Raw genomic sequence first — 24,649 nt, forward strand, 5'->3', positions numbered from 1 at the left:
AGAGTTGCTTGAGCCCAGGAGGTGGAGGTTGCAGTGAGCCGAGATGGTGCCACTGCCAGCCTGGGTGACAGAGGGAGACTCCATCTGAAAACAAACAAACAAACAAACAAACAAACAAAGTGTGCCTGGAGCGACTGTCTATGCAAACTCTGACATCAGCTCTAGGCTCTAGTTTCATGATTTTCATTTTATTTCTTGTTCCCTTCTTTACATTGGGGAAAATGTGTTTTTCTCTAGAAGCAACTACCTGGTTTTCAGTGGCAAGGTGCACAGACTTTCTGGGTTTTCCATTCACCATTCTCCTCCACTGTGCCTCCCGCTTCCATTTCCTCTTCAGTATGGAAATGGCACTTATTTATTCATTCATTCAAAAATATGTATTGAGCACCTGCTGTGTGCCAGGCCCTACTCTGGACGTGGGGAATGCAGTCAAGAACAAAAATGACCAAAGTCTCCTTCCTTGTGGAGCCACAGTTAAGTAGGAGAGAGAAAATAAACACATATGTATATAAGGTACGCAGAATATCAAATGATAAGTCCATGGAGAAAAAAGGTCAAGAGAAGCTGACGAGAACATGCCCAGGGGAGGCGAGAGGAATGCAGCGCTGAAGGAATGTAGGAGAACATTCTAGAAAGAAGCGGTAGCAAGGACAAAAGTCCTGAATTGGGAGCAGCCAGTGAACAAGGAGGGCAGGGAAGATGAGGCCAGTTCTGGTAGGGCCTTGCTCAGAATCCAGCTGCCGTTCTGCGTCAATCAGTCATGTCCAGAGTCAAAATTATCGTAATTTAAAAATGATTTTTCAAAGTACATAGAGCCTAAATCTGAAATCAATGACTGCAACCGCAGATACCCAGAGAACCCAAACAGGTAAGAATTAGTGGAGTAGGTATGCTAATAGCAGGGACTCCACCCGGTGCCATTCAGGAATGGTCTCCGTGTTGCTAGGTGTTCTGATTTTTCAAAATCTGAATTTTTAAGAGAAATGTCCCGCTTTTAAAATCACTATGAGGAACCACCAGAAATATACCTCCAGGCTCATAGTGTACGATCCCTCTCCCAAACATCGACACAGACCCTGGGAATCAAATTTCAGTGAAAAGGCACTAAGCCTCTCTCCCGCACTTTTTTTTTTTTTTTTTTTTTTTTTTTTTTTTTTTTTACCAATTCCTGACCAGAAAGGATGCCAAGAGATGCTAAAAATTGTTTCCAGGAAAAAGTAGGACTTGAATCTCATGGGGATGAGGCTGAGACTTCTTCCAAGGAGCAATCAGCTTGCTTCATTATTATGTCTTTCTCAGGAGTTTTTCCTGATCTCCGCTCATCATGGGGAAAGGCAAGATGGTCCAAATCTATCCTCCTTCGGGTTTTCATTAGTTTCTTGATGATGATTATTATGTCATCTGGGGTTGATTTAAGAGTGGTGAAATGTTTGCAGGTCTCATAAATGGTTGTCAGCCACTGTTTAGAATGGCAAAGAACTTTTTATGTTGTTCCCATTGCAAGGAGTGGGGTGATAGTTTCCAATGGCTACAGACAAAAGGGGGAAAGTGGGTTCTGAAGCCTTTTACAAGAGGAGATTGGAAAGTTGAGTAATTCAATGGGGGTGCAGGTGGGAGGCAGTAAGGAAAGCTCCAGGAGCTTTTTAAGACCTGAGATGCCTACATTGACAATACTGAAATCATCGTCGGCCTCCCCAGCCCCAAAGCTGGGCTTAAGCAAAATCCCAGCCAGTGGTCGCCTTAGCTGTGGAGATTGCTCCAGATGTAAGTGACAAAAAAACTTACTTCTGAGTTGGTTTAAGAAAAAAGAAAATGTATTGCCTTGGGAAATGAAAAGTTCGAGGAGGGCTGGTTTCAGGTACAGCTGGTTCAAGAGCTCAGATGCAGGTCATGTGCCCATCTCTTAATCAGTCTCTCTGTTCAAGAGGATTCTGTACTGTGCCACCTGTGGAGCTGTGGATGGAGTGAGAGAAAGGTAGATTTCCAAAGTGAAATCGGCAGCATTTTCTGGAAGTGTGGGTGGACTGGTTCCTTATATCCCCCAAAATTGTACCTATAGGTATGCCTTCTCCACCCCTCTCCTCCTGGACTACAGTGCTGCTTATGAAATTTGTGCTTTTTCCAGGCACGATGTTATACTCTTTGTGTGCATGTTTTACTTTTCTCCTCAAACATTCTTACTAGGTCAGTATTTTTAAGACCTGCTACTATTCTGCCCTCCACATGCTCTTCCCCATGGGCCTGGAAGATTATCTTTTATTTCAAGTAAGGGTGTTTGTCTTACTTATTTCAAGTAAGGATGTTCATCTTAAGGGTGGGTCATCTGTATTTGTCTGTTCTTGCACTGCTATAAAGAAATACCTGAGACTGGGTAATTTGCAAAGAAAAGAGTTTTAATTGGCTCACAGTTCCACAGGCTGTACAGGAAGCATGTTACTGGCATCTGCTCAGCTTCTGGGGAGGCCTTAGGAAACTTACAATCATGGTGGGAGACGAAGAGGAAGCAGGCACGACTTACATGGTGGAGCAAGAGGAAGAGAGAAAGAGGCGGGAGGTGCCACACTGTTGTAAACAACCAGGTCTTATGAGAACTCTGTCACAAGAACAGCACCAAAGGGGAAAATCCAATCCCCCTTGATCCAATCACCTCCTACCAGACCCCACCTACAACACTGGAGATTCCATTTCAACATGAGACTTGGGTGTGGACACGCATCCAAACCATCTTATCATCTCTTTTCATGGTCTCTGGTACAAAAGTTGAGGCACTCCAGCCAAGCATAGGACATGCGCTGGGCTTCAGAGGATAAGTGAGAGATGAATCAGGATCACTAGGAGTAGAAGGGTTACCCTGGCAATGCACGCATTCCCAGGCCCCTGATGGTCAGCCTGGATTTCTTTTTCTGCTCTGAGCTTTTGCTCCCGTTGCTGCCTGTATTGAACTTTCTCATGCTCCATCTAGGGGCATGGCAGTAACATCGGGTACACACAGAGGTTGCACACTGGCAATCAAGATGTGTTTTGTTTGGTCTGCAGATCATTTAAAAAATAGAATGGAGCCAACTTTGAAGATCTGGATCTTTCACACAAAAATGTAGATTGCTGGCTCCCATCAAAACATCACAAGATCTGTCAACACTGTGCCCACATTTCCACATTACCGCAGTTGACTGGGGCTGGGAACTGTCTGTCCCTTTTAGGTGGATAAGTTAGTTCACCCAAGTCCTCACCTTTCCCTATAGTCTCTCCAACACCGAGGTTCAGGTTAGTTACCATTTACCGTTGGGACCATGCTGTTGGCTCTCCTAGAGTAGATTTAAGACAGAAAAGAAATCTTTCCTATATCTAGATCTCCATTAGAAGTATGAAAATGAAGTGTAAACCAAGGTGGTCCTTGGTATTTACAAAAAAGAGAAAGCATCTGTCTTCAGGTAACACAGGGTTTCTCAACTTTGGCACTATTAAGATTTGGAGCTGGATAATTTGTGTGTGTGTGTGTGTGTGTGTGTGTGTGTCCACTCTGTATACTCTAGGATGGCATTTAATATGTCCATGTGGACATCATGCACCATCTAGAAGTAAATAGGTCCCTGTGCTCCAGGCGCTCACCACCAGGTTGGTACAAAGAGTTACCATAAGTGAGGAAAGCTGTTCTTCTGCATGGCACCCGGGCAGGCTCAGCATTGGCAGTAGAGGTTATGAGTTGGCTGATTTTTGATTTAGTCCTAAGTGGACTTGCCAACCATTGAGGCTGTTTATGACTGCCTGTTTGAGATGTTATAGAAGGAATTCAGTGTTGAATGAGAGGTTAAACTATTTTAAAGAGTCTTTGGAGAATTTCTTAACTCTTAGCTGAGTGAGGCCATGGTGGATGCTACTTGCAAAAAGTTTGAAAGTAGCATGGATGGAACTGGAGGACATTATGTTAAGTGAAATAAGCCAGATGCAGAAACACAAATATCTCATGTTCCCACTTGTGTGTGGGAACTGGAAAACTCGATCTCGTGGAGGTAAAGAGTAGAATGAGGGTTCCCAGTGGCTGGAAAGGTGGGGGTGATGAAGAGAAGCTGGCTAATGGGTAGAAACATACAGCTACATAGAAAGAAAAGTTCTAGTGTTCAAAAGCACAGTAGGGTGACTGTAGTCAACAATATGTTCTATATCAAAATAGCTGGAAGAAAAGATTGAAATGTTCCCAACACAAAGCAATGTTAAATGTTTGAGGTGACGGATATTCTAAATACCCTGATTTGATCATCACACATTGTATGCATGTATCAGAATATCACATGGACCCCCCATAAATACATACAATTGTTATGTATCAATAAATAATCTTGCAAATAGAAGGTGGAGCATGGGCAGTGGTTGGGCTTGTTGGAGAGTGAGCAGAAGGACCAAATGACCTCTGGATGTCTCTTATGTCTCCTCCAGCTCTGGTTCTGTGAGCTGAGGCTTAGTGAGTTTCAAAATGTTGCCTACTACATGTTCGCAACTGCTAACCGTGGTCTACCATGGAAACTCAAAGGCATGGATATTCAGGGAGGAATCTCATTTTTCCCTAGGCTAGTACTGTGTACGAGGTGAGACTTTTTTTTCTTTTTGGCCTTCCCCTAGTGTTACAAATCCTGTCGAGTGTCTGAAATACCATCCATGTGAAGGTTTCCCATGATAACTGTAACAGCTGCCATTCATCCATTCAACACATATTTATTGAACACTTCTATGAGGCAGCCACTGTTCCAGGCACTTGGCAAGCAGCTATGTACAAAACTGACAAGTCCTTGCCCTCATGGAGCTTTTGTTTAGGGGGGAAAGAAGATAGACAATAAAAAAGCAAATAGTAAGACAGTCTTGGCATTGCTATGGGGAAAAAGTAAGTAGAGGGGAGGGAGGTTGATGGGAAACATTGAGGTAGAACAGGGAAGAGGAATTTTTAATTTTTTTTTTTTTTCTTTTTTTTTGAGACGGAGTCTCGCTCTGTCGCCCAGGCCGGACTGCGGACTGCAGTGGCGCAATCTCGGCTCACTGCAAGCTCCGCTTCCCGGGTTCACGCCATTCTCCTGCCTCAGCCTCCCGAGTAGCTGGGACTACAGGCGCCCGCCACCGCGCCCGGCTAATTTTTTGTATTTTTAGTAGAGACGGGGTTTCACCTTGTTAGCCAGGATGGTCTCGATCTCCTGACCTCATGATCCACCCGCCTCGGCCTCCCAAAGTGCTGGGATTACAGGCGTGAGCCACCGCGCCCGGCCTTAATTTTAATTTTAAATAGGGTGGCCACTGTGATGGCATGCTGGTAAACTGGTTCTCTGGAAATTAAAGGTCCTGATTTGTAGCCTCTGCCACTTACAGTGGTGTAAATACTCCCACCATGGTCACTTACAGCCCAACAGTGATTTTAACAAGGAGTTCACAACATTCATGCACATTTAACAATTGTTTCTTGCAGGCTGGTACAGGCTGGCTGCAGCACATCACTGGCAGGCAAGGCCTCCCTGAAACTATCTGGCAGAAGAGCCCACACAGAAGCTCTGAGTGGGGTTGTGCCTGGTGTGTTCAGGAATGACCAGGAGTTCATTGTGGCTGGAGCTGAGTGAGAGGAGAGGGGCAGGAGATGTAGTTAGGGAAGTAGCCAGGGGCAGATAATGTAGGGTGTTTGAGGCCAGGGTCAGATTTTTGACTTCTAAGCTGAGTGAGGTGGGAGTCCCTGGAGGAATGGGATCTGAGCAGAGGAAGGACATGATCTGCCTTAAGTAGAGCAGAACTCCTCTGGCTGCCAAGAGAACAGACTGCAGGGGTCAGAGGGTGGGGCAGGAAAACCGTTAAGAGACTGTTCAGACAGGGAGGTGACGGTGACTTGGACCAGGGTGGTGGCAGTAGGATCAGGGAGAAGAGTTGGATTCTAGATATGCTTTTAAGATAGAGCCGATAGAATTTGCTGAGGGATTGGCTCTGGGAAGGGATATGAAGAGAGGAGTCCAAGGTGACTCCAAGGCCTCTGGGCTGGGCATTTGGGAGGATGGAGCTGCCCTTTGCTGAAATGGGGACAGTGGAGGGAGGAGCAGGTTGGGAAAGGAGATGGGAGCACCTCGTGTGGACCTGGCATTGAGCCAGGTGTTTGAATATATGATCATCTCCTTCTGTCCATTTTATCACGCCCATTTTGGAAAGGATGTGACAGAGAGTTGAGGTTAATCAGCATGCCCAAGGTGGCCCTGCTGGTACATGGCCAGGCCAGGCCTCCCACCCCTTTACCACTCTGCTGTCCTACTGTGTTTTCTTGGCTTTCTCAGTCCCGTTCCTCCTCTTCGTTTTGAGGAAATGACAACAGGAGAACTCTGCAGAAGAAACCACCTAGGAGCCGAGACCTCTCCCTCGTTCCTAAAGAGCTGTCCAGCGGTTAACGCTGGACACACATCAGGTCTGCTCAGTGGATCTGTCACCCACATTTTTCCCTGACAAATTTGTTGGATTAACCTCATGAAGATGAATATTCCACAGTAGAACTCACACTTAAAAAAATAGGAGTCAGTGGCATAAAGGCTTTGATTTTTCTGTGGACACAGGCTTAAATCCAGATTCTACCGCTTGATGGCTTCTCCATGGGAGCCTCAGTTTTCTCATCTGTGGAGTGGGTGTGTATTACTCCATTCTCACACTGCCAATAAAGACATACCCAACTGGGTAATTTATAAAGGAAAGAGGTTTCATTGGCTCACAGGTCAGCATGTCTGGGGAGGCCTCAGAAAACTTACAATCATGGCGGAAGGGGAAGCAAACACATCCTTCTTCATATGGTGGCCGGAAGGAGGAGAATCAGTGCCCAGGAAAGGGGGAAGCCTCTTATAAAACCATCAAATCTTGTGAGAACTAACTCACTATTGTGAGACTAGGATGGGAGAAACCACCCCCGTGATTCAATTATCTCCACCTAGTCCCTCCCACGACACGTGGGGATTATGGGAACTATAATTCAAGATGAGATTTGGGTGGGGACGCAGCCAAACCGTATCAGGGAGTAAGAAGAGTTCCTCTCTCAGATTCAAGGAGATAATGGGCTGAGGCACTTAGCACTGTGCCAGCCCCATCGTCACACTCAGCACACAGAGGGAATCATGACCATGATTGTTTGAGAGAGGGAATTAGAAAGTTGGGTTCAGTTTTAGGCAAAAGCTGACCTGCCTTCAAAGCTGGAGTATGGGGACAGGGGGCCGTGCGTGGGACATCGTGCTTGAGAGCTTTGCAGTTTGGCCTTTTCTTTTCTCTACCGGAGATGGGAGGCCTCTGTCCGTGTTTCTGCTGTGTTCACCAGGAGGCCAGTCTGGGGCAATTACTGCTCCCCATCTCCCAAAGGAGCCACATCAGCCTCATAGCAGTGTCTCTAGCTTCGAGCTGTTGCCTGTGGCAGGCAGAACAGTGTGTACTCGCAACAAGCAAATCCCCAGATGTGAGCCCATTCGGGGCTGCCACGTTTTTTCCTGATGAAATTCCTGACTTGGTGTGTTGTGTTTTTTTAAAAAACACGCCCACTGCCTCCAAAAACCTCAGCCGGGGAAGAGAAACATTTCTCGTTGAATTCCCAGTTTTTGAAACGGTGTCAAATTATGCCCCTCTCATGGCCTGGATACGCCATTCTTTCCACTTAGTGCTTTTCAGAGAGGCCTGGGTGGCAGAACGTGGATGTTATCTAGGCCAGCCTTTGCATTATACAGGTGGGGAAACTGAGGCTCAGACAGGCCAAGGAGGAGCCCCACATGGGAAGTTGGTCTCAGAGCCTTGGTGATACCCCCAGATCTCTTGATTCCAGGCCCACTTTCTTCCTTCTTCATCAGAGGTCACAAATGGGCAGGCTGCAGCCACCTCTACCCTACAGATGTGCTTTCTTTGGCCTGAGATTGTTTTGATTTGAATGAGTTGCCGGCATTTAAAAATTAGGAGATTCCATATAAAAACCCAGATTTCTGGCTTCTCTGGGGCCATTGGGAGATCTGCCAAATGAGCTGTGCATTCCTGCATGGTGACAATTGAGGGTCTCAGTCATGGCCACTCCCTTTAGCCAGAGCATGTCTTCATCAGTTCACCACAGTCCCCGCCCCTCCCTCTAGTACCCCCGGACCTGGGGGCTCAATGTCACTTGTCATCATGGCGCTTTCCCTCCCAGTTCTATAGGGGTGCAGTTAAGAGAAAAGTGAAGTATTTCTTGAAACTGTGTCTCTATCAAAAAGAAGGAAACAAAAGATCAACCGAAATGACCACTTGTTTAAACATTAATAGTACATAGCATGATTGCTTTGTGGCAGAGCAAAAAATTTCTATGAATTTCATATGCAAAGAGAATACGTCAGTGTTGAAAATCGCTGGCCCCTTCACTCTCTGAGGTTACCTTCCCCTTCTCTGCCAGTGTTACACTTGCCATCCCTGCGTGCCAAGGCCATAGTTTCCACTTATTTTTTTAAGGCAGCATTAAACTTATTTGACCTACATCTGCCCCCCTCCTGTGAAACTTGAAATGCTATTAAACCAAATTAAGAAGTTTTTAAAAGTTGAAATGGTCTTTAACTGCTCGAGAAAGGGTGTATGTGAATATGTGAATGTATTGTGCAGTGTGTGTGGGTGTGCATGGACAAGTATGCTGTGTGTGAGTATATGAATGTGGGTGAGTGTGTCAGAGTCTGTGTGAATATGTGTAGGTGCTTAAGTGTGTGAGTTTGTGTGTGTGTGTATCTGAGTATGAAGGTATTATGTGTGTGTGCATGTGTGATGGGTTCTTGATTTATAGACTTTGCACCAAGTAGAATTGGACAAAAGTGTTTTTCTTTGGCTCTGGGACTGGCACTTCTGGGCTTTACCATACATTTAAGCCAAGGTGCAAAGCCAAGTTGGTTTTAACTCTAATGCCACGTCAGTGAGCTGGGTTGAGATTGAGGTTAAGGTTGACTTTCCTTTCTTCTGGGATATAGTGGGGGGCTTTTGGAGGGGAGAGCTCGGGGTGCTAGGCTTTACAAATGATGCTCACTTTCTTCCCAGAGCAGATGGCCAGAAGAGAGGGGGCTCACACTTTGAGGCCTGCTGTGTGCCAGACATTCATATGAAGATTATCTCTCTACTGTTCGAAGTGAGCTTTGGACCCTTCCTTATTTACTGATGTGTTCATTTTGGTTCTGTTAGGAAAAATATATAGAGAGATAACCTATAAAATACATAAATTAGTAGTATTTCTTAGAACAAGGCTCAGTTTATTTAAGGAGGAAAAAGAGTTCATTTAAAGAAAAAATATGTTAAATGATATAGTTTGTGGAGGTGAGAAAATCACAAATAATTGATCCTTACCATGTGCAGGAGTGGTCAGGTGGGCAGCCTCCCCCCGAGTCAAAATCTTCCTAACATCTTGTACTTCCTCAAAGCACTTAAACTTGTTAAATACTTAATCGTATATGCTTTTGCATAATTTTGTCTCTTTTCAACTAGGACTGTTTATGTCATTTCAAGGTTGCCTTTCCAGCATCTAGCAGAGTGCCAGGCACGCAGGAAGTGCTCAGGAAATAGCAGCGAATGCATGCACAGACTCCCTGCCAAGAGGGGAATTACTGTCCCCATTTTATAGATGAGGAAACTGAGGGTCAGAGTGACTTGCTTAAGATTTGGCAACTAGGATATGGCAAAACGAAGATTTGAACGCATGACTCTCAGGCTGCACAAACCTTTTTGCCAAACACCAATACGTGGGACTCAGGTCAGACAGACTATGACCACTGGCCCATTGCAAAATGAGGAAAGCGAAGTGGATGTGAAGAGTTTCATAAAGCTACAGGCATTCCTTGGAGATGCTGCGGGGTTGGTTCCAGAACGCCACAATAAAGCCAATATCGCAGTAAAGCAAGTCACGTGAATTTTTTGGTTTCCCAGTATGTATGAAAGTTATGTTTACACTATTACTGTACATAGGCCACTAAGTGTGCAATATTATTATGTCTAAAAGAATGTATGTACCTTAACTTAAAAATACTTCATTGCTAAAAAACGCTAATGATCGTCTGAGCCTTTAGCGAGTTGTAGTCTTTTTGCTGGTGGAGGGTCTTGCCCCATTGTTGAAGGCTGCTCACTGATCAGGGCGGTGGTTGCTGAAGGCTGGGGTGGCTGTGGCAATCTCTTAAAATAAGACAAACATGAAGTTTGCTGCATTGATGAATCCATTCTCTTCCTTTTATGAAACATTTCTCTGTAGCATGCAATGCTGTTTTATAGCATTTTACCCAAAGCAGAACATCTTTCAAAATTAGAGTCAGTTCTCGGCTGGGCGTGGTGGCTCACGCCCACAATCCCAGCACTTTGGGAAGCCGAGGTGGGCGGATCCTGAGGTCAGGAGATCGAGACCATCCTGGCTAACACGCTGAATCCCCATCTCTACTAAAAAATACAAAAAATTAGCCGGGCGTGGTGGCAGGTGCCTGTAGTCCCAGCTACTCAGGAGGCTGAGGCAGGAGAATGGCGTGAACCCAGGAGGCGGAGCTTGCAGTGAGCCGAGATCGCGCCAGTGCACTCCAGCCTGGGCGACAGAGCAAGACTCCGTCTCAAAAAACAAAACAAATCTCACTCTGTAGCCCAAGCTGATGTGCAATGGCACGATCTCGGCTCACTGCAACCTCTACCTCTGGGGCTCAAGCAATTCTCATGCCTCAGCCTCCCGAGTAACTGGGACTACAGGCACATGTCACCACGCCCGGCTATTTTTTTTAGTTTAGTAGAGACGGGTTTCACCAGGTTACCCAGAGTGGTCTCGAACTCCCGCACTCAGGCGATCCATCCACCTTGGCCTCCCAAAGTGCTGGGATACAGACGTGAGCCACCAGCACCTGGCCTATTTCCACCACATCCGCAGTGACTTCCTCCACTGAAATCTTGAACCTCTCAAAGTCATTGATGAGGGCCAGAATCAACTTCTTCCAAACTCCTGCTAATATTGATATTTTTACCTCCTCCTGTGAATCACGAATGTCCCTAATGGCATCTTAGAATGGTGAATCTTTTCTAGAAGGTTTTCAATTTACTTTGCCCAAATCTATCAGAGGAATCATGACCTATGACAGCTATGGCCTTATGAAATGCATTTCTTAAATAATAAAATTTGAAAGTCAAAATTACTCCTTGATCCATGGGCTGCAGAATGGATGCTGTGTTAGTGGGCGTGAAGACAACATTTATCTCCTTGTATATCTCCATGAGAGCTCTTGGGTGACCACGTGGACTGTTGTGAGCAGTATTATTTTAAAAGAAACCTTTTTATCTGAGCAGCAGGTCTCAACAGTGAGCCTAAAATGTTCAGCAAACCATGCTGTAAGCAGACATGCTGTCATCCCGGCTTTATGTTATTCTGTTCATAGAGCACAGGCAGAGTAGATTTAACATCATTCTTAAGGGTCCTAGGATTTTCAGAATGGTAAATGAGCATTGGCTTCAACTTAAAGTTATCAGCTGCATTGGCCCTTAACAAGAGATTCAGCCTGTCGTTTGAGGCTGTGAAGTCAACCATTGACTTCTCCTCTCTAGCTATGAAAGCCCTAGATGGGATCTTCTTCCAATCGAATGCTGTTTTGTCTGCATTAAGAATATATTGCTTAGTGTAGCCACCTTCATCACTGATCCCAGCTAGATCTTCTGGATAACTTGCTGCAGTTTGTCCATCAGCACTTGCTGCTTCGCCTTGCACTTTTATGTTATAAAGATGGCTGCTTTCCTTAAACCTCCTGAACTCTTGGTAGCTTCAAACTTTTCTTCTGCAGCTTCCTCATTTCTCTCAGCTTTCATAGAATTGAAGAGAGTTAGGGCCTTGCCCTGGATTAGCCTTTGGTGTATGGGAATGTTGTGGTTGGTTTGATCTTCTATCCAGACCACTCAGACTTTCTCTGTATCAGCAATAAGACTGTTTTGCTTTCTTATCACTCGTGTGTTCACGGGAGTAGCACTTTTAATTTCCTTCAAAAATTTTTCCTTTGCATTCACAACTTGGCTAAACATTTGTTGCAAGAGGCCTAGCTTTCATCCTGTCTCAGCTTTCGACATGCCTTCCTCACTAAGCTTAATCGTTTCTAGCTTTTGATTTAAAGTGAAAGCCATGCGACTCTTCCTTTCACTTGAGCACTCAGAGGCCATTGTTGGATTGTGGATTGGCCCAGTTTCAGTACTCTTGTGTTTCACGGAATGGGGAGGCCTGAGCAGAGGGAGAGAGGTAGGGGAACAGTTGGTTGAGGTCAGAACACATGGAACATTTATACATTAAGTTCACCATCTTATATGGGCACAGTTTGTGGTGCCCAAATCAATTATGAATAATATCAAAGATCACTGATCACAGATCTCCATAACAGATATAATAGCAATGAAAAAACTTTGAAATATTGAGAGAATTACCAAACTGTGACACAGAGACATGAAAATGACACTGATAAACTTGCTCAATGTAGGATTGCCACAAAACTTTAATTTGTTTAAAAAAAAAAACAGTATCTGCAAAGTACAATAAAGCAAAGCAATAAAACGAGGTCTTCCTGTATTTGCTTTATTGCGGTGATCTGGAACCAAGCCCACGATATCTCCAAGGTGTGCCCGTATACTGTTCCAATTTAAAAAATGGTCTGTTATTTTTATTTTCTTCCTATTTTGAGGACGTGACACGTTATCTTTTTATGACTAAAATTTCTCATTTTTTGTTTTTAAATGTTTCACTGGACAAATCAAAATGGCAGCCTCCTTTTGTGGGTTCTCCCAGTTTTTTTCTTTGTATTGCTTTTTTTCGGGAGGGAGATTTTCTAGTTGGTGGAATCCCAGAGTCTGAGAATCATCAGACAACTTCAAGCTCCTCTGGAGATCTTATCAGGTCCATTGGGGAAATCTCTGAGCTCCCCTCTGACTTCTTTCCAAGTCACTTCACCATTTCCCCTTCATGGGGTGGGGCCAGTGTGTCTCCCTCATTCCAGGCCCCAGGGACACAAATGCAAAAACCAGAGCCACATCTCAAGGATGTGTCCTGGGACCTCTCCAGAGGGCCAGAGCCTGCCCTTACTGATTTTCCAGGGAGCTCAGGACTCATCATCTCTCTGGGAGAAACTGGTGCCACCCAGGATGGCCTTGGTTAGTACGGCATCTCTTCATGGGCTCTGCTCACCTCTTTTGGTTTCAGCACAATGCAGCTTTCCTTTCCATTTTCTTAACCAATTCAGATGCCCCTCATCTAACTGCTAATCATAGCTCCCTGTTGAGCGAGGTGTCACCTCTGAAAGTCTGCCCATTGTTGACCCTGCGGTCTCTTCTTCCAGGCTTGGAGGCTGGGTAGATGCCATTTCTCTAACCCTGCCAGAACTCTAGCTGTGCCCACACCTCCGCTGGCTCTTAGTAGGGGCGCCTTCTCAGTGGGGAGGCTGACACAGGGCTGTGGAGACTTGGAGCCAGCAATGCGCCGGCCCTCGCCTCAGAGAGCTTGGAGCCTCGTAGGTGAGACCAGGCAAGCACAGATGTTTCCTTGGGACTGGATTCTAGGCCCTGTTGAGGGCTGGAGGGTAACCTCTTAGGCTTGCATAGTATATTACAGTTTACAAACAGTCTCCACATTTATTTTCCTCATGTCCATTTGTAGTCCTCTGCAGTACGTGATGCTTATCTTGCCCAGCTGGCATCCATTCATCTCCTGGTTTTCTTTTCTTTCTTCTCCTTTCTCGTTTCTACTGCACCTTCAGGCCATTACCCCACTCTCCAGTTCTAAGTGCAGACCTGTGACCTCCCCATGGGCAGTCACAACATGCTATGCCTCTGCCCTCAGGGTTCAGGCACAGGAACTGGACCCAGGTTGAATGGGGCCCAATTCTGGGAACTTTGCTGGAATTGTTGAGGAATGATGCCCTCTTTTCTCTGGGTTGCTAAACTCATAGAATGTAGCCATCTTGCTTAGGGGAAGCCTGCCTGAAACTAAAGGCAACTCAAAGGAAGACAGAGACAAGATATGGAGGGCAAAAGATTCCCAATGACCTCATTTGAGCACCTGGATCCAGCTGTTCCTGAAGCTAGATACCATGTGTTATTCCCTTATATTAGCCAATACATTATTTCTTTTTTACTTAAAGAAGTTTGAATGGAGTCTTCTCCCAATTGCTATAAACTAATACAGGTGGTTTTGCATTTACTAAGTTGCCCTGCTTCCTCTGATCACAGTAAAACTCCCTTTCATGTATGAAACCCTCTTGTAAGTGTTTTCATAGCAATCAGACTCATGTCTACTAGACACAGCACTGGCCTAATTTCAGTGAAGAGGGATTTGAGGCACAGAAGAGAAGGGAAGCAAGTTGAGGCTGGAACCTGCGTTTCCTAACACCTGTTCTAGTGCATTTTCCACTTGGAGCATCCTCACCAGCTTTCAGTTTGGAGAACAGTTTTTAATACCCAGGACATCATCACCCCGGAGGACAGGAGTGCTAATTGATTTAATGAACAACCCAAGCAAGGTCAGAGAAAACTCTTAACTACATCACAGAGTAATCAGAAGAGTTACACTAATGGTAATTTTAGGTGCCTAGAAAATCTCTGGTAGATAAGAGAGGAAATAGTTAACTGTAGTTACCCAGGGGAAAGGAAATGGGGAAAAGGAGATTCTTAGTTTTTTACTGTGTATACTCTACTGTACATTCCAAAATGTTTTACTAGGGGCACCGATTGTTTCATATTCAAGTAAACAGTGAATTTTGAAATGTAACAACAGCAGGCTTCCATCTGAGACAATTAGAGCATCAAATAGTGAATTATAAACCATTGAAAAAATACAAACCTATGAATATATACCACTAATAAATAGGTAAATAAGTAAATAGGGAGGAGGGAGGTTTTGTGCTTACAGTCGAATGCCGAGGACCAGCTAGAATTGTGGGGGAGAGCTGGGTAAGAAACACACCATGTTGCGACCACTATAATAAAGATTGGTTCAGTCAAGAATCATCATCAATAGATGCTGAATTTGGGGTGGGGATGTTGATAAGGAGTAGCATTTTGCATGGTCTTAAGTGATCTCTTCACGATGGCTTATAAATTTTAAGAGAAAATAATAGTCACTATGCAGTGCAGAAATTGGTGATCTGTATCAATGTCATCACTGAGAGGCAGATAGACAGGATGTCCGGAGAAGGACGCAGCATCACCCATGCAGTATTCTGGGAGGGTGCATGACCCGAATCTAATAAGAAAAGAGCAGACAAACCTAGAATGAGGAACATTCCATTTCAAAAAAAGGTACCTTCTTCTTCAAAAATGCCGATGTTGCAAAGTACAGAAAAAGACTGAAGAAATGTTCTAGATGAGGCCGGGCACGGTGGCTAGTGCCTGTAATCCAAGCACTTTGGGAGGCTGAGGCGGGCGGATCACTTGAGGCCAGGAGTTTGAAACCAGCCTGGGCAACATGGTGAAACCCTGTCTCTACTAAAAATACAAATTAGCCAGGCGTGGTGGCAGACACCTGTAATACCAGCTACTCAGAGGCTGAGACATGAGAATTGCTTGAACCTGGGAGGCAGAGGTTGCAGTGAGCCAAGATCGTGCCACTGCACTCCAGCCTGGGTGACAGAGTGAGACTCTGACTTAAAAAACAAACAAAAGAAATGTTCTAGACCAAAGGAATCTGAAGGGATAGGACAACTAAATACAGTACCCAGTTCTAGACTGGATTCTAGATAGAGGGGGAGATGTGATACAGGAAATTATTGGTGAATTGACAAATTGTACTGTGGAGAATGGATTGGTTAAAATATTGTGTCAGTGTTAAAGTGATTGAAGTGGGTAATAAACCGGAGATTCTATAAGAGAATGTTATTTTTCTTGGGAAATACCATTGGAATATTTACGAGTAAAAGGCCATTATGCATGTAACTCTGAAATGATGCACAAAAGAAAAATAATACACGTGTGCTGGGTGTGTGTGTGTGTGTGGAGAGAGAGAGAGGGAATTGGTAAGCACATGGGTGAAACATTAACAGCAGATGCATCTGGGTAAAAGATCTGTGAGTATTCTTTGTACTGCCATCACATAGGTCAGCCTCTCTCCAAAACCTGCACTCTTGTTTACTAAAACAGTATTTCTCAAAACATGGAACGCCTTAGTGATTTTTTTTAAATCTCATTTTGCTAACTTTCAGCTCTTTTAATTAAGCCCAAAAGAGAATCTTAAGTTGGTGCTGGATGGTTTGGTTTTTAACACCAAACACTTGCTAATTCTCTTTGTATAACAAAGAGAGTCATCAGGCAAGCAGTGGCCTCTAGAAAGATCTATCTTTCATGGGGGATTCCTCATATTAATTTTTCTAGTTATCTTCTATTTTTTGACAGTGATTTATATTTGTGATTTTTAAAAGTTCCTTTTTAGGTATATTAATTTAAGTTTATTTTTAACTTGTTTTAGGAAGTGAGTCAATTCAAAGAAAATATTAAGGTGGTGACAGTGCACGGTATGGGTGGCACATGGAGATGGCAGAGGCTGGGAAGGACTAAAGTTTCAGCCACTGCAGCTGGAAACTCCTCTCAAGTTTAAAATGTTTGGGTCAAGGTGACACTTTCCCGTCTGTGGTCCCTGCTTTCTTAACACTATCATTCAGAAAGGCCCCAAGTGTAGGCCGGGCACGCTGGCTCACGCCTGTAATCCCAGCACTTTGGGAGGCCGAGGTGGGTGGATCGCGAGGTCAGGAGATCGAGACCATCCTGGCTAACACGGTGAAAACCCATCTGTACTAAAAATACAAAAAATTAGCCAGGCGTGGTGGCGGGCGCCTGTAGTCCCAGCTACTCAGGAGGCTGAGGCAGGAGAATGGCGTGAACCCAGGAGGCGGAGCTTGCAGTGAGCCGAAATCGCGCCACTGCACTCCAGCCTGGCCAATAGAGCGAGACTCCATCTCAAAAAAAAAAAAAAAAAAAAAAAAGCCCCAAGTGGGTAATTCCTTTCCTCTAAGGCAGTAACCAGAATAAACCCTTCTCTATCACCAATGCATGATGCTTCCATTATGTTTCACCTCCCTAATCTTCAGAACTTGGAAGAATGAGTTTGGTAATGTTAGACTGGAAACTCAGACCAAGGAGGCTGTGTTAGTTTCCTGGGACTGATGTAAAAAAGTACAGCAAACTTGGTGACTTTAAACAACAGAAATTTACTCTCTCCGGAGGTGGAAGTCTCCAGAGAGCCTGCAAGGTGTTAGCAGAGCCGTTCTCCCTGAGCCTAGGTAGAATTCTTCCTCACCTCCTCCTGGCTTTGGTGGTGGCCATCCGTCCTTGGCATTCTTTGGCTTGTAGCCATGTCACCCCAATCTCTGCCTCTGTCATCACATGGCCTTGTCCCTGTATGTCTTCATGCAGCTTTTTATAAGGACACCAGTCACATTGGATTGAGGACCCATATAACTCCAATATGACCTCATCTTAACTAATCACATCCACAATGACCCTATTTCCAAATAAGGCCAGAGGGTGACAACTTTAATATGTCCTTTGGCGGAACACAATTCAATCCATAGCAGAAGTTTACTCAAGCACTCAAGGGCTAGGAAAGAAAAGATTCATGACTGGCCCTATGTAAAAATAAAACACCTCAGCATAATGCAAATACCATATGCAAAATCAAAAGATAAATGACAAACTGGGGGAAATCTTTGCAGTTCATATGACAAAAAAAGAGGCTGGTTTCTCCGGCATAGGAAAGAGAGTTCCTAGAAATTGATCAGAAAACAGTAACAATAATCCATTAGAGAAATGGATGGAAGGTATGAACAGGCAATTCACAGGAAAGGAAATACAAATGACTTTTAAATATTTGAAAATATGTTCGATCTCACTTAAAAAAGAGATATGCAATTAAAATCCACCCATAAAATCGAGAACAATTTCAAAGTTTATGAACATACTCTGCTGGTGAGGCTGTGGGGAAACAGACACTCTCATCTATTGTTAGGAGGAGTGTGTGTCACTACGGTCCTTTTGGAGGGCAGATTGGCGTGGCCCATCCAGATTACAAGTGCACCCTCCTTTAATCTAGCAATCTGTTCCTAGGAATTTACTGCAATTGTATGTGTGCAAAGTAGCACTTGTAACTCAGTGTTTATTGCAGCCTTATTTGTAACAGCAGAAGTTTGGGAACTGTCCAGGTGCTCACAGATAATAGAGAATTGGTCACATAACTTGGTATCTCCATGCAATGGAAAATTATGCAGCTGTAAAACAAAATGACCATACTTTCCAGGCACCAATTTGATAAAAACCCCTGGAAAAATATTACTGAAAGGAGGTAATATAGCATGCTACTATTCGTTTAAGAAGCAAGTGCGGAGTGAATAAGAATATACATCCACATTTGCTTCTGTTTACATAAAGAAAATTTGAAAGGCTACGCAAGAAATTAATTATTAGGACTAATTAACTATTAATTAGGATTTTTCCAGAGAAACAGAAAAAAATAGGAAATATATACGTACACACATACAGTGATATAGAGAGGGGGGTTGATTTATTATAAAGGATTGGTTCATGCAGTCATTCAATTATGGAGGCTGAGAAATCTCATGATCTGCCATTTGCAACCTGGAGACCCAGGCAAGCCAGTGGTGTAATTCTGTCCCATTTCAAAGACCTGAGAACCAAAGAAACTAATGGTATCAATCACAGTTCAAGGGCAGGGGAAGATGAGATGAGATGTCCCAGTTCAAGCAATGAGACAGGAAAAGAAGGGAGAAATTCCTTCTTCTTCTTCCTTTTGTTCTGTTCATGTCCTCAGTGGATTGGATGGTGCCCACCCACTTTGGGGAGGGCCATGTACTTTACTGAGTCCACTGATTCAAATTCTCATCTCATCCAGAAACACCCTCACAGGGATACCTAGAAATAATGTTTCATCTGGGCACCCTGTGGCCAATCAAGCTGACATGTAAAATTAACCATCACACTAATGAAAGTGGCTGTGGAGGGTGGTAGGGATAGAAATGAGACTTTTCCACTATATCTCTTTATAATTTTAATTTTTGAATTATGTGACTGCCGTGCCTAATTAAAAATAAATGCAACACCTTGGGTGTGGGAGCAGAGTTGCCGTGGGCTCACTGGTTGCTGCACACGTTGCTCTGCATGTCCTGGGTTCCTTTTCCTCTGGTTGCTCCTTCTTAGTTATTCTGGGGGAAAGCAGGTGCCATGGGGTACCTGAGACTAATAAATAAATGCAGGTCAGCTTGTGGCCCACAGAGGATGGCCCAGCAGGCATGGGGTGCTGTGTCATGGGCAAGGACATGGGCCATTCTTCAGTGGCAGTCATTTTCCTTGATGGGAGCCCAGAAGTGCTTTGGGAAGGTAGCCTCGTGCTGGGCGTGTCTGCCCTAAGTTGAGTTTACCAACACATAGGAAGGTCTGAAATTCATTTCAGCACAAGAGCAGAACTGACCCTGTGTGCTTACATTGGAAATCACAGATGCCCCTTCCCTCAGTCAGGAAAATTACCCAGGTCACCTCTGGTGAGCAGAAGGCCTTGCAGAACAAGTGCTCAGTGGACAGTGTGACATATGAGCCCCGCCGGGATCTCCCGCTGCAGCAGCGAGGAAGTAGTGTGGTGCAGTGGTTACGTGTTGCAGTTTCAGAGCTGAGTTCACAGCATGGCTGTATTAATCTGTTCTCACGCTGCTAATAAATACATACCTGAGACTAGGTAATTTATAAAGAAAAAGAGGTTTAATGGACTCACAGTTCCATGTGACTGGGGAGGCCTCACAATCATGGCAGAAGGCAAAAGGGCACATCTTACATGGCGGCATGCAAGAGAGAATGAGAGCCAATCAAAAGGGGAAACCCCTTATAAAACTATCAGATCTCGTGAGACTTATTCACTACCACGAGAACAGTATGGAGGAAATCACCCAGATGATTCAACTATCTCCCACTGGGCCCCTCCTACAACACGTGGGAATTATGGGAGCTACAGTTCAAGATGAGATTTGGGTGGGGACACAGCCAAACCATATCAATGCCCTGCCCTCTTACTAAACGTGTGACCTTGGGCAGGTCACTCAGCTCTTTAACCCTATAGGTTTTGTCACCTATAAAATACGAGTCGCTAGTACCTGTCTCCAAAGGTGTATGAGGATCGGGTGAGGTAATGCAGTGAAGTGCACATAGTAACCCTAACCGTGACCCGAATCAATAGAACACTTAGAATTATCACAAACAATAATAACAGATAATACTCATGTAGCATTTACTATGCTGCAGACACTGTTTTAAGCTCTCCAACTATATTTACTCTCCCTGCAACTCTGTGAAGTAGGTATTGTAATTATTCTCACTTTACAAGTGAGGAACAGAGACATAAAGGGTAAATGTCTTGCCCTACATTACTCAGCTCTGCACTGGAGGAGGTGGGATTTGAACCTAGGTGGTCTGGCTCAGAGACTGCTTTTACTGACTTCATCACTGTGTTCAGTGAGTTCCAGGACGTGAGTTTGAATAAATGGAAAAATGGGAACCTGAAACCCTCAGCAAAGTCTGCTGTGAGCATGTGTCTCTGATCTTTCAAGTACTGCTTTGGCCACTCTTAAGCTTCGTGAACCTTATTTTCCTCATACATAAATGGGAGGAGAGTAGTAATGACATCTACTATTTATTAATCACCTGCTGAGCATCAGAGGCTGTGATGAGTGCCTTACAGGTCTCATTTTTTCCTCACTGGAGCCCTATAAGATAAGTACTGTTTTCCCCATTTTATAGACAAAGAGACTGAGGTTCAGAGAGGCCCAGAAATCTTAGGCAGCCAGTAAATGCCAGAAACAGAAGTTGAAGCCAAGTCTGTTTGATGCCAGAGCCTGGGCCCATCACCACCCCCTGGACTCTGTGCCCTCCGGGAGCTGTTGCAAAGATGAGAGTTATTTTTCTGTGTGGTGCCTGGCACACAGTGCCGGTGTGCAAAATCACCAACGCTTGGATTGTCGATGTAACATTTGCTCACGGAAAGCTGACCTCACCCATGTTGAAGCTCCCTTTCCTCATCTGCTGAGTCAGGATGCAGATGGGGTGGCTTTCAGGGACTGCTATACAGACAGAGTTCTAGAAGGTTGTGTGGCCCGGAAGCGGTGCTGTGCCGATGTTAGGGGCCTCTACCTCTGAACTACAAGCAAATTCTCCCCTCCAACAAGAGCACATTGTGTTCTGGCCCCGGTCTCCCACTAAGGCTACTTTAAATGCAGATCCTTCTGCCAACAGCTACTTTTAGCAAGGGCAGACTATCATAAGGAGAGAAACTTGCAAGAAAATAGCAAAATGGAAGCATTGTTCCCGAGGGTTTGGAGCAGGCTCAGGGAACGGTGGGGTGGGAGAGCCCTGGAGACGTGCTTTGCCATCACAAATAAGTTGTGCAAAAAAAAAAAAAAAAAAAAGAAGAAAAGAAAATTCACTTAAAGTTTTTCCTGAAACCTGGAAGGAGGAGAGGGCAGACAAAACTAACTTTGGAAGGATTTAAACTGCTATAGTCCTGTGGAAGCTTCTCTGAAGGAACTGGGAACTGTTTATAGCAGGAGAATTGCATCTTGAGGCTGGAGGGAGCACAGGGCTATTGATGGATGAGTCCCTAGTAACACGGGAAGATGGGAGGCAGGAGAAAAAGCTTGTGGACTGAGAAGGGGCTTTTTTTTTGAGGAAATTTGTGTTCTCAGGGATGAACTAGGGCCATATGATAAAAGATTGCAAGGATGGTTTCAACTTCACACCATTTAGAGCCTCTGGCACTATGAGGAGGTTGGCTCATGCAGTAGTGAGTGGACTGTCCTCAGAAGCATGCAAGCAGAGCCCGGGTGATGATACAGGGAGTCCAGCTTTAAGATAGGACACAGGACTTGAGCAGAGGCTCATAAACACTGGGCCTTGTGCAGGGTCCGCTCTGTGCCAGCTCTCACACTCATCCATGATGAAATGAGAGCAAAGAGGACTGAGGCTGGGTGCGGTGGCTCACATCTGTAATCCTAGTGCATTGAGAGACCGAGGTGAGAGGATTGTTTGAGCCCAGCCTGGCCAACATAGTGAGACACTGTCTCTTAAAAAAAAAAAAATTGAGTAGTGAGATTTTAATCCAAGAAGACTGTTCCTTGAGACTACACCCTTCCTAAACTTAGGTGTTCAAATGCTCTTTATAAAATGACCCCTCTGTAAAAGCCTGGAAATATTGGGATTAGATAATGTCCAAGTCTTTTCCATTGCTAAGATTTTGTGATTCTAGGAAAATATGTTTCTGATTTGGATGAAACAGAATAGGAGGAGCGTAAAAGCAAGCCTAAAACTGACACATCAAGAAATGGCCATGTCAGCATACCAGTTAGAGATGCAGAGTTACTTACCAGGAGGAACAGTTACAAGTTGACTGTGGTCCTCCTGAAGAACAGGGCTGGAGGTGAGATTTTGCATAAGTATCAATTCTGCATTGGTATATAAATTTTAAAATGACATGCATGTACTATATGACCTTTGGTTAACACTAAAACTTTTAAAAAATAAAAGACAGGTAATAATTATAGCTGCCCTTTACTGGATTCTGTGCTAAAGGCTTTTTATAATATTATTTCCTTTAATTAATCCCATCTTAGGGATGAGGAAACAGGCTCAGAAAGGTGAAGTTACTTACTTTGCTGTGCAGACAGGGTGAATTTCAGGTTTTTTTGACGTGAGAATCCAAACCAGATGCATATACACGAAGCTCAGTTGTCCTCTGCCAGGGTGAGACTTCTGTGGGGCTTCAGGAGAGGAAGAGGATGGGGGGATGTGGGGGTAATGCTATAGAAAGCACCAGAAGATAACTGGAAGAGAGATGATGACAAAAAAGGGGGTCCTGGTTAGGTTTCTTGATCAAACATCTTGAGGAATTCAGCAGCTTGTCATAAACTAAAAAAAGGCACACTTGCACATTAAAAGAGAAATAATTAAACAGTTGCATGAGACACTTATGTTCCTTTCTCCCCTCAATTTGGATTTGATGGGAGGGAGGCCACATGGGAGGAAGCAAGCTGTTTGGACGCGTTGACTCTGTGCCAGGCACTGTGCCAGGAACCTTATGGAAATATCAGCCCATCTAGTCTTCGCCATGACTCTGAGAAATAATATTAACCAAGAACGTCACTTAGGAATGCCTACCGTAGGGTCTCTCAGCTTCAGCCCTGCTGATATTTGGGAACAGATCATTATCTGTTGTGGGAGGCTGGCACCCATTAGGTGCCAGTGTGATAACCGAAAACGTCTCCACACATTGTCAGGTGCCCTCAGGGAGTCAAACTCACCTCCAATTGAGAACCACTGTCCTCAGATGACTAGGCATGTCATATATATTATCTTGAGTCACCCTGCCAGCTAGCTGTCATGATGCCCACTTTGTAAATGAAGACACTGAGGCTGAGAGAAGGCTGACATCATTGTCAGTAGCAGGGCTAAGAACTGTGCCACGTGTTTTCAATACTGAATTTAGAGAAGCAGCAAATGAAGACCCCGGCCCAGTTAACCTTGGGCTAACACTAAAATATAGATTGTATCTTCTCTTTTTTAACCACAGTGAATGTCTTAGAGGAGGGGCTGGTGTTTCATTATGTTTTGTTTGTTTGTTTGTTTGTTGTTTTTAAGTACGCTGGCGACATGGCACAGGCTCTGGAACCAAGCACCTTCACTTATTATCTCTGAAACCCTGGCATGTTACTTAACCTCTTTGGCTCTCAGTTTTCTTCTCTGTAAAATGGAACTAATGATTATACCTCCTCATAGGGTTGTTTGGGGATGAAATGAGATCACGTGAGCGAAGCAGTGCCTGGCAGATAGAGACTCAGCATCAACAAATGTGAGCTGTCATTCTTACGAGCAAGTTTTTAAATCCATTTCACATACTCAGACCTGGAAGTGGCCCCAGTGGCATCATTCAGGGCACCATCTCTGGGGTGGCTGACTCTGCTTCTTTGCAGTCAAGCCCAGGGGTTGTAATTCATGTCGGATTTTCGCTGACCACTGAGCAATCCCCTCTGGGCTGCAGGAGTAGCCGGATTTGGCTTGAGCGTCCAGAGGAGAAGCCGTCCAAGCTGATCAAGCATTTGCCTTCTCCACCAATAGGAGTCTCAGGAGAATTATGGAACTGTCTTTGCACATGGAAGAGATTAATTCGTGTGGCCACAAATAGCTTGAACACTGTGTCCTCAGCGCTGTGATCTAGTATCCCCTGAAATTTACACAGGGTGCCAGCCCGGCAGCCAGAAAAGCCACAGGACCGTCTTAAGCTGCCCAGCGCTCCTAGCCGGGGGACCCCTCAGGAATTTCAGAGGGTGGGGACAAGATTAAGTCGTTTGTTTTTCATTTCATCCACCTACCTCGCCCCCCGCCTAATAAGCCTGCTTTCTGGCCTCCCGTTTATCAGCCAAATGGAATGATTGTGCACCCCCCATCCCCGGGTTTGCACCTCCAGGCTCAGTCCGTCTACTTCCTCCACCTGGCGTACCCTCTTTTATGGTCATGCTCACCTTCCAGTCTCTGCATAGCTAAATGCCACCATCCTCCAAGCCTAGTGCCACCACCTCTGCTCCCCCCACCAAGTGGTACATGGCTTTAAAGGATGTGGGCTCTGGAATAGAGTTTAAAC

General features: G+C 44.7%; 1 protein-coding gene across 4 annotated transcripts in view, besides 1 other annotated feature; it reads left to right on the forward strand.

The window, feature by feature from the left end:
• Positions 1–24,649, forward strand: part of EYA2 (EYA transcriptional coactivator and phosphatase 2) — a 294,002-nt gene that overhangs the window by 12,905 nt on the left and 256,448 nt on the right. The gene's annotated exons all lie outside the window — the stretch shown is intronic.
• Positions 11,880–12,407: an enhancer, noted in NCBI's record as "NANOG hESC enhancer chr20:45548266-45548793 (GRCh37/hg19 assembly coordinates)". NCBI's record gives its function as "activates a minimal SCP1, AML or CMV promoter by ChIP-STARR-seq in naive and primed H9 embryonic stem cells {active_cell/tissue: H9 hESC(naive and primed)}" and the evidence as "EXISTENCE:reporter gene assay evidence [ECO:0000049][PMID:30033119]".

Source organism: Homo sapiens, chromosome 20 (assembly GCF_000001405.40).
Source record: "Homo sapiens chromosome 20, GRCh38.p14 Primary Assembly".
Classification (NCBI taxonomy): domain Eukaryota; kingdom Metazoa; phylum Chordata; class Mammalia; order Primates; family Hominidae; genus Homo; species Homo sapiens.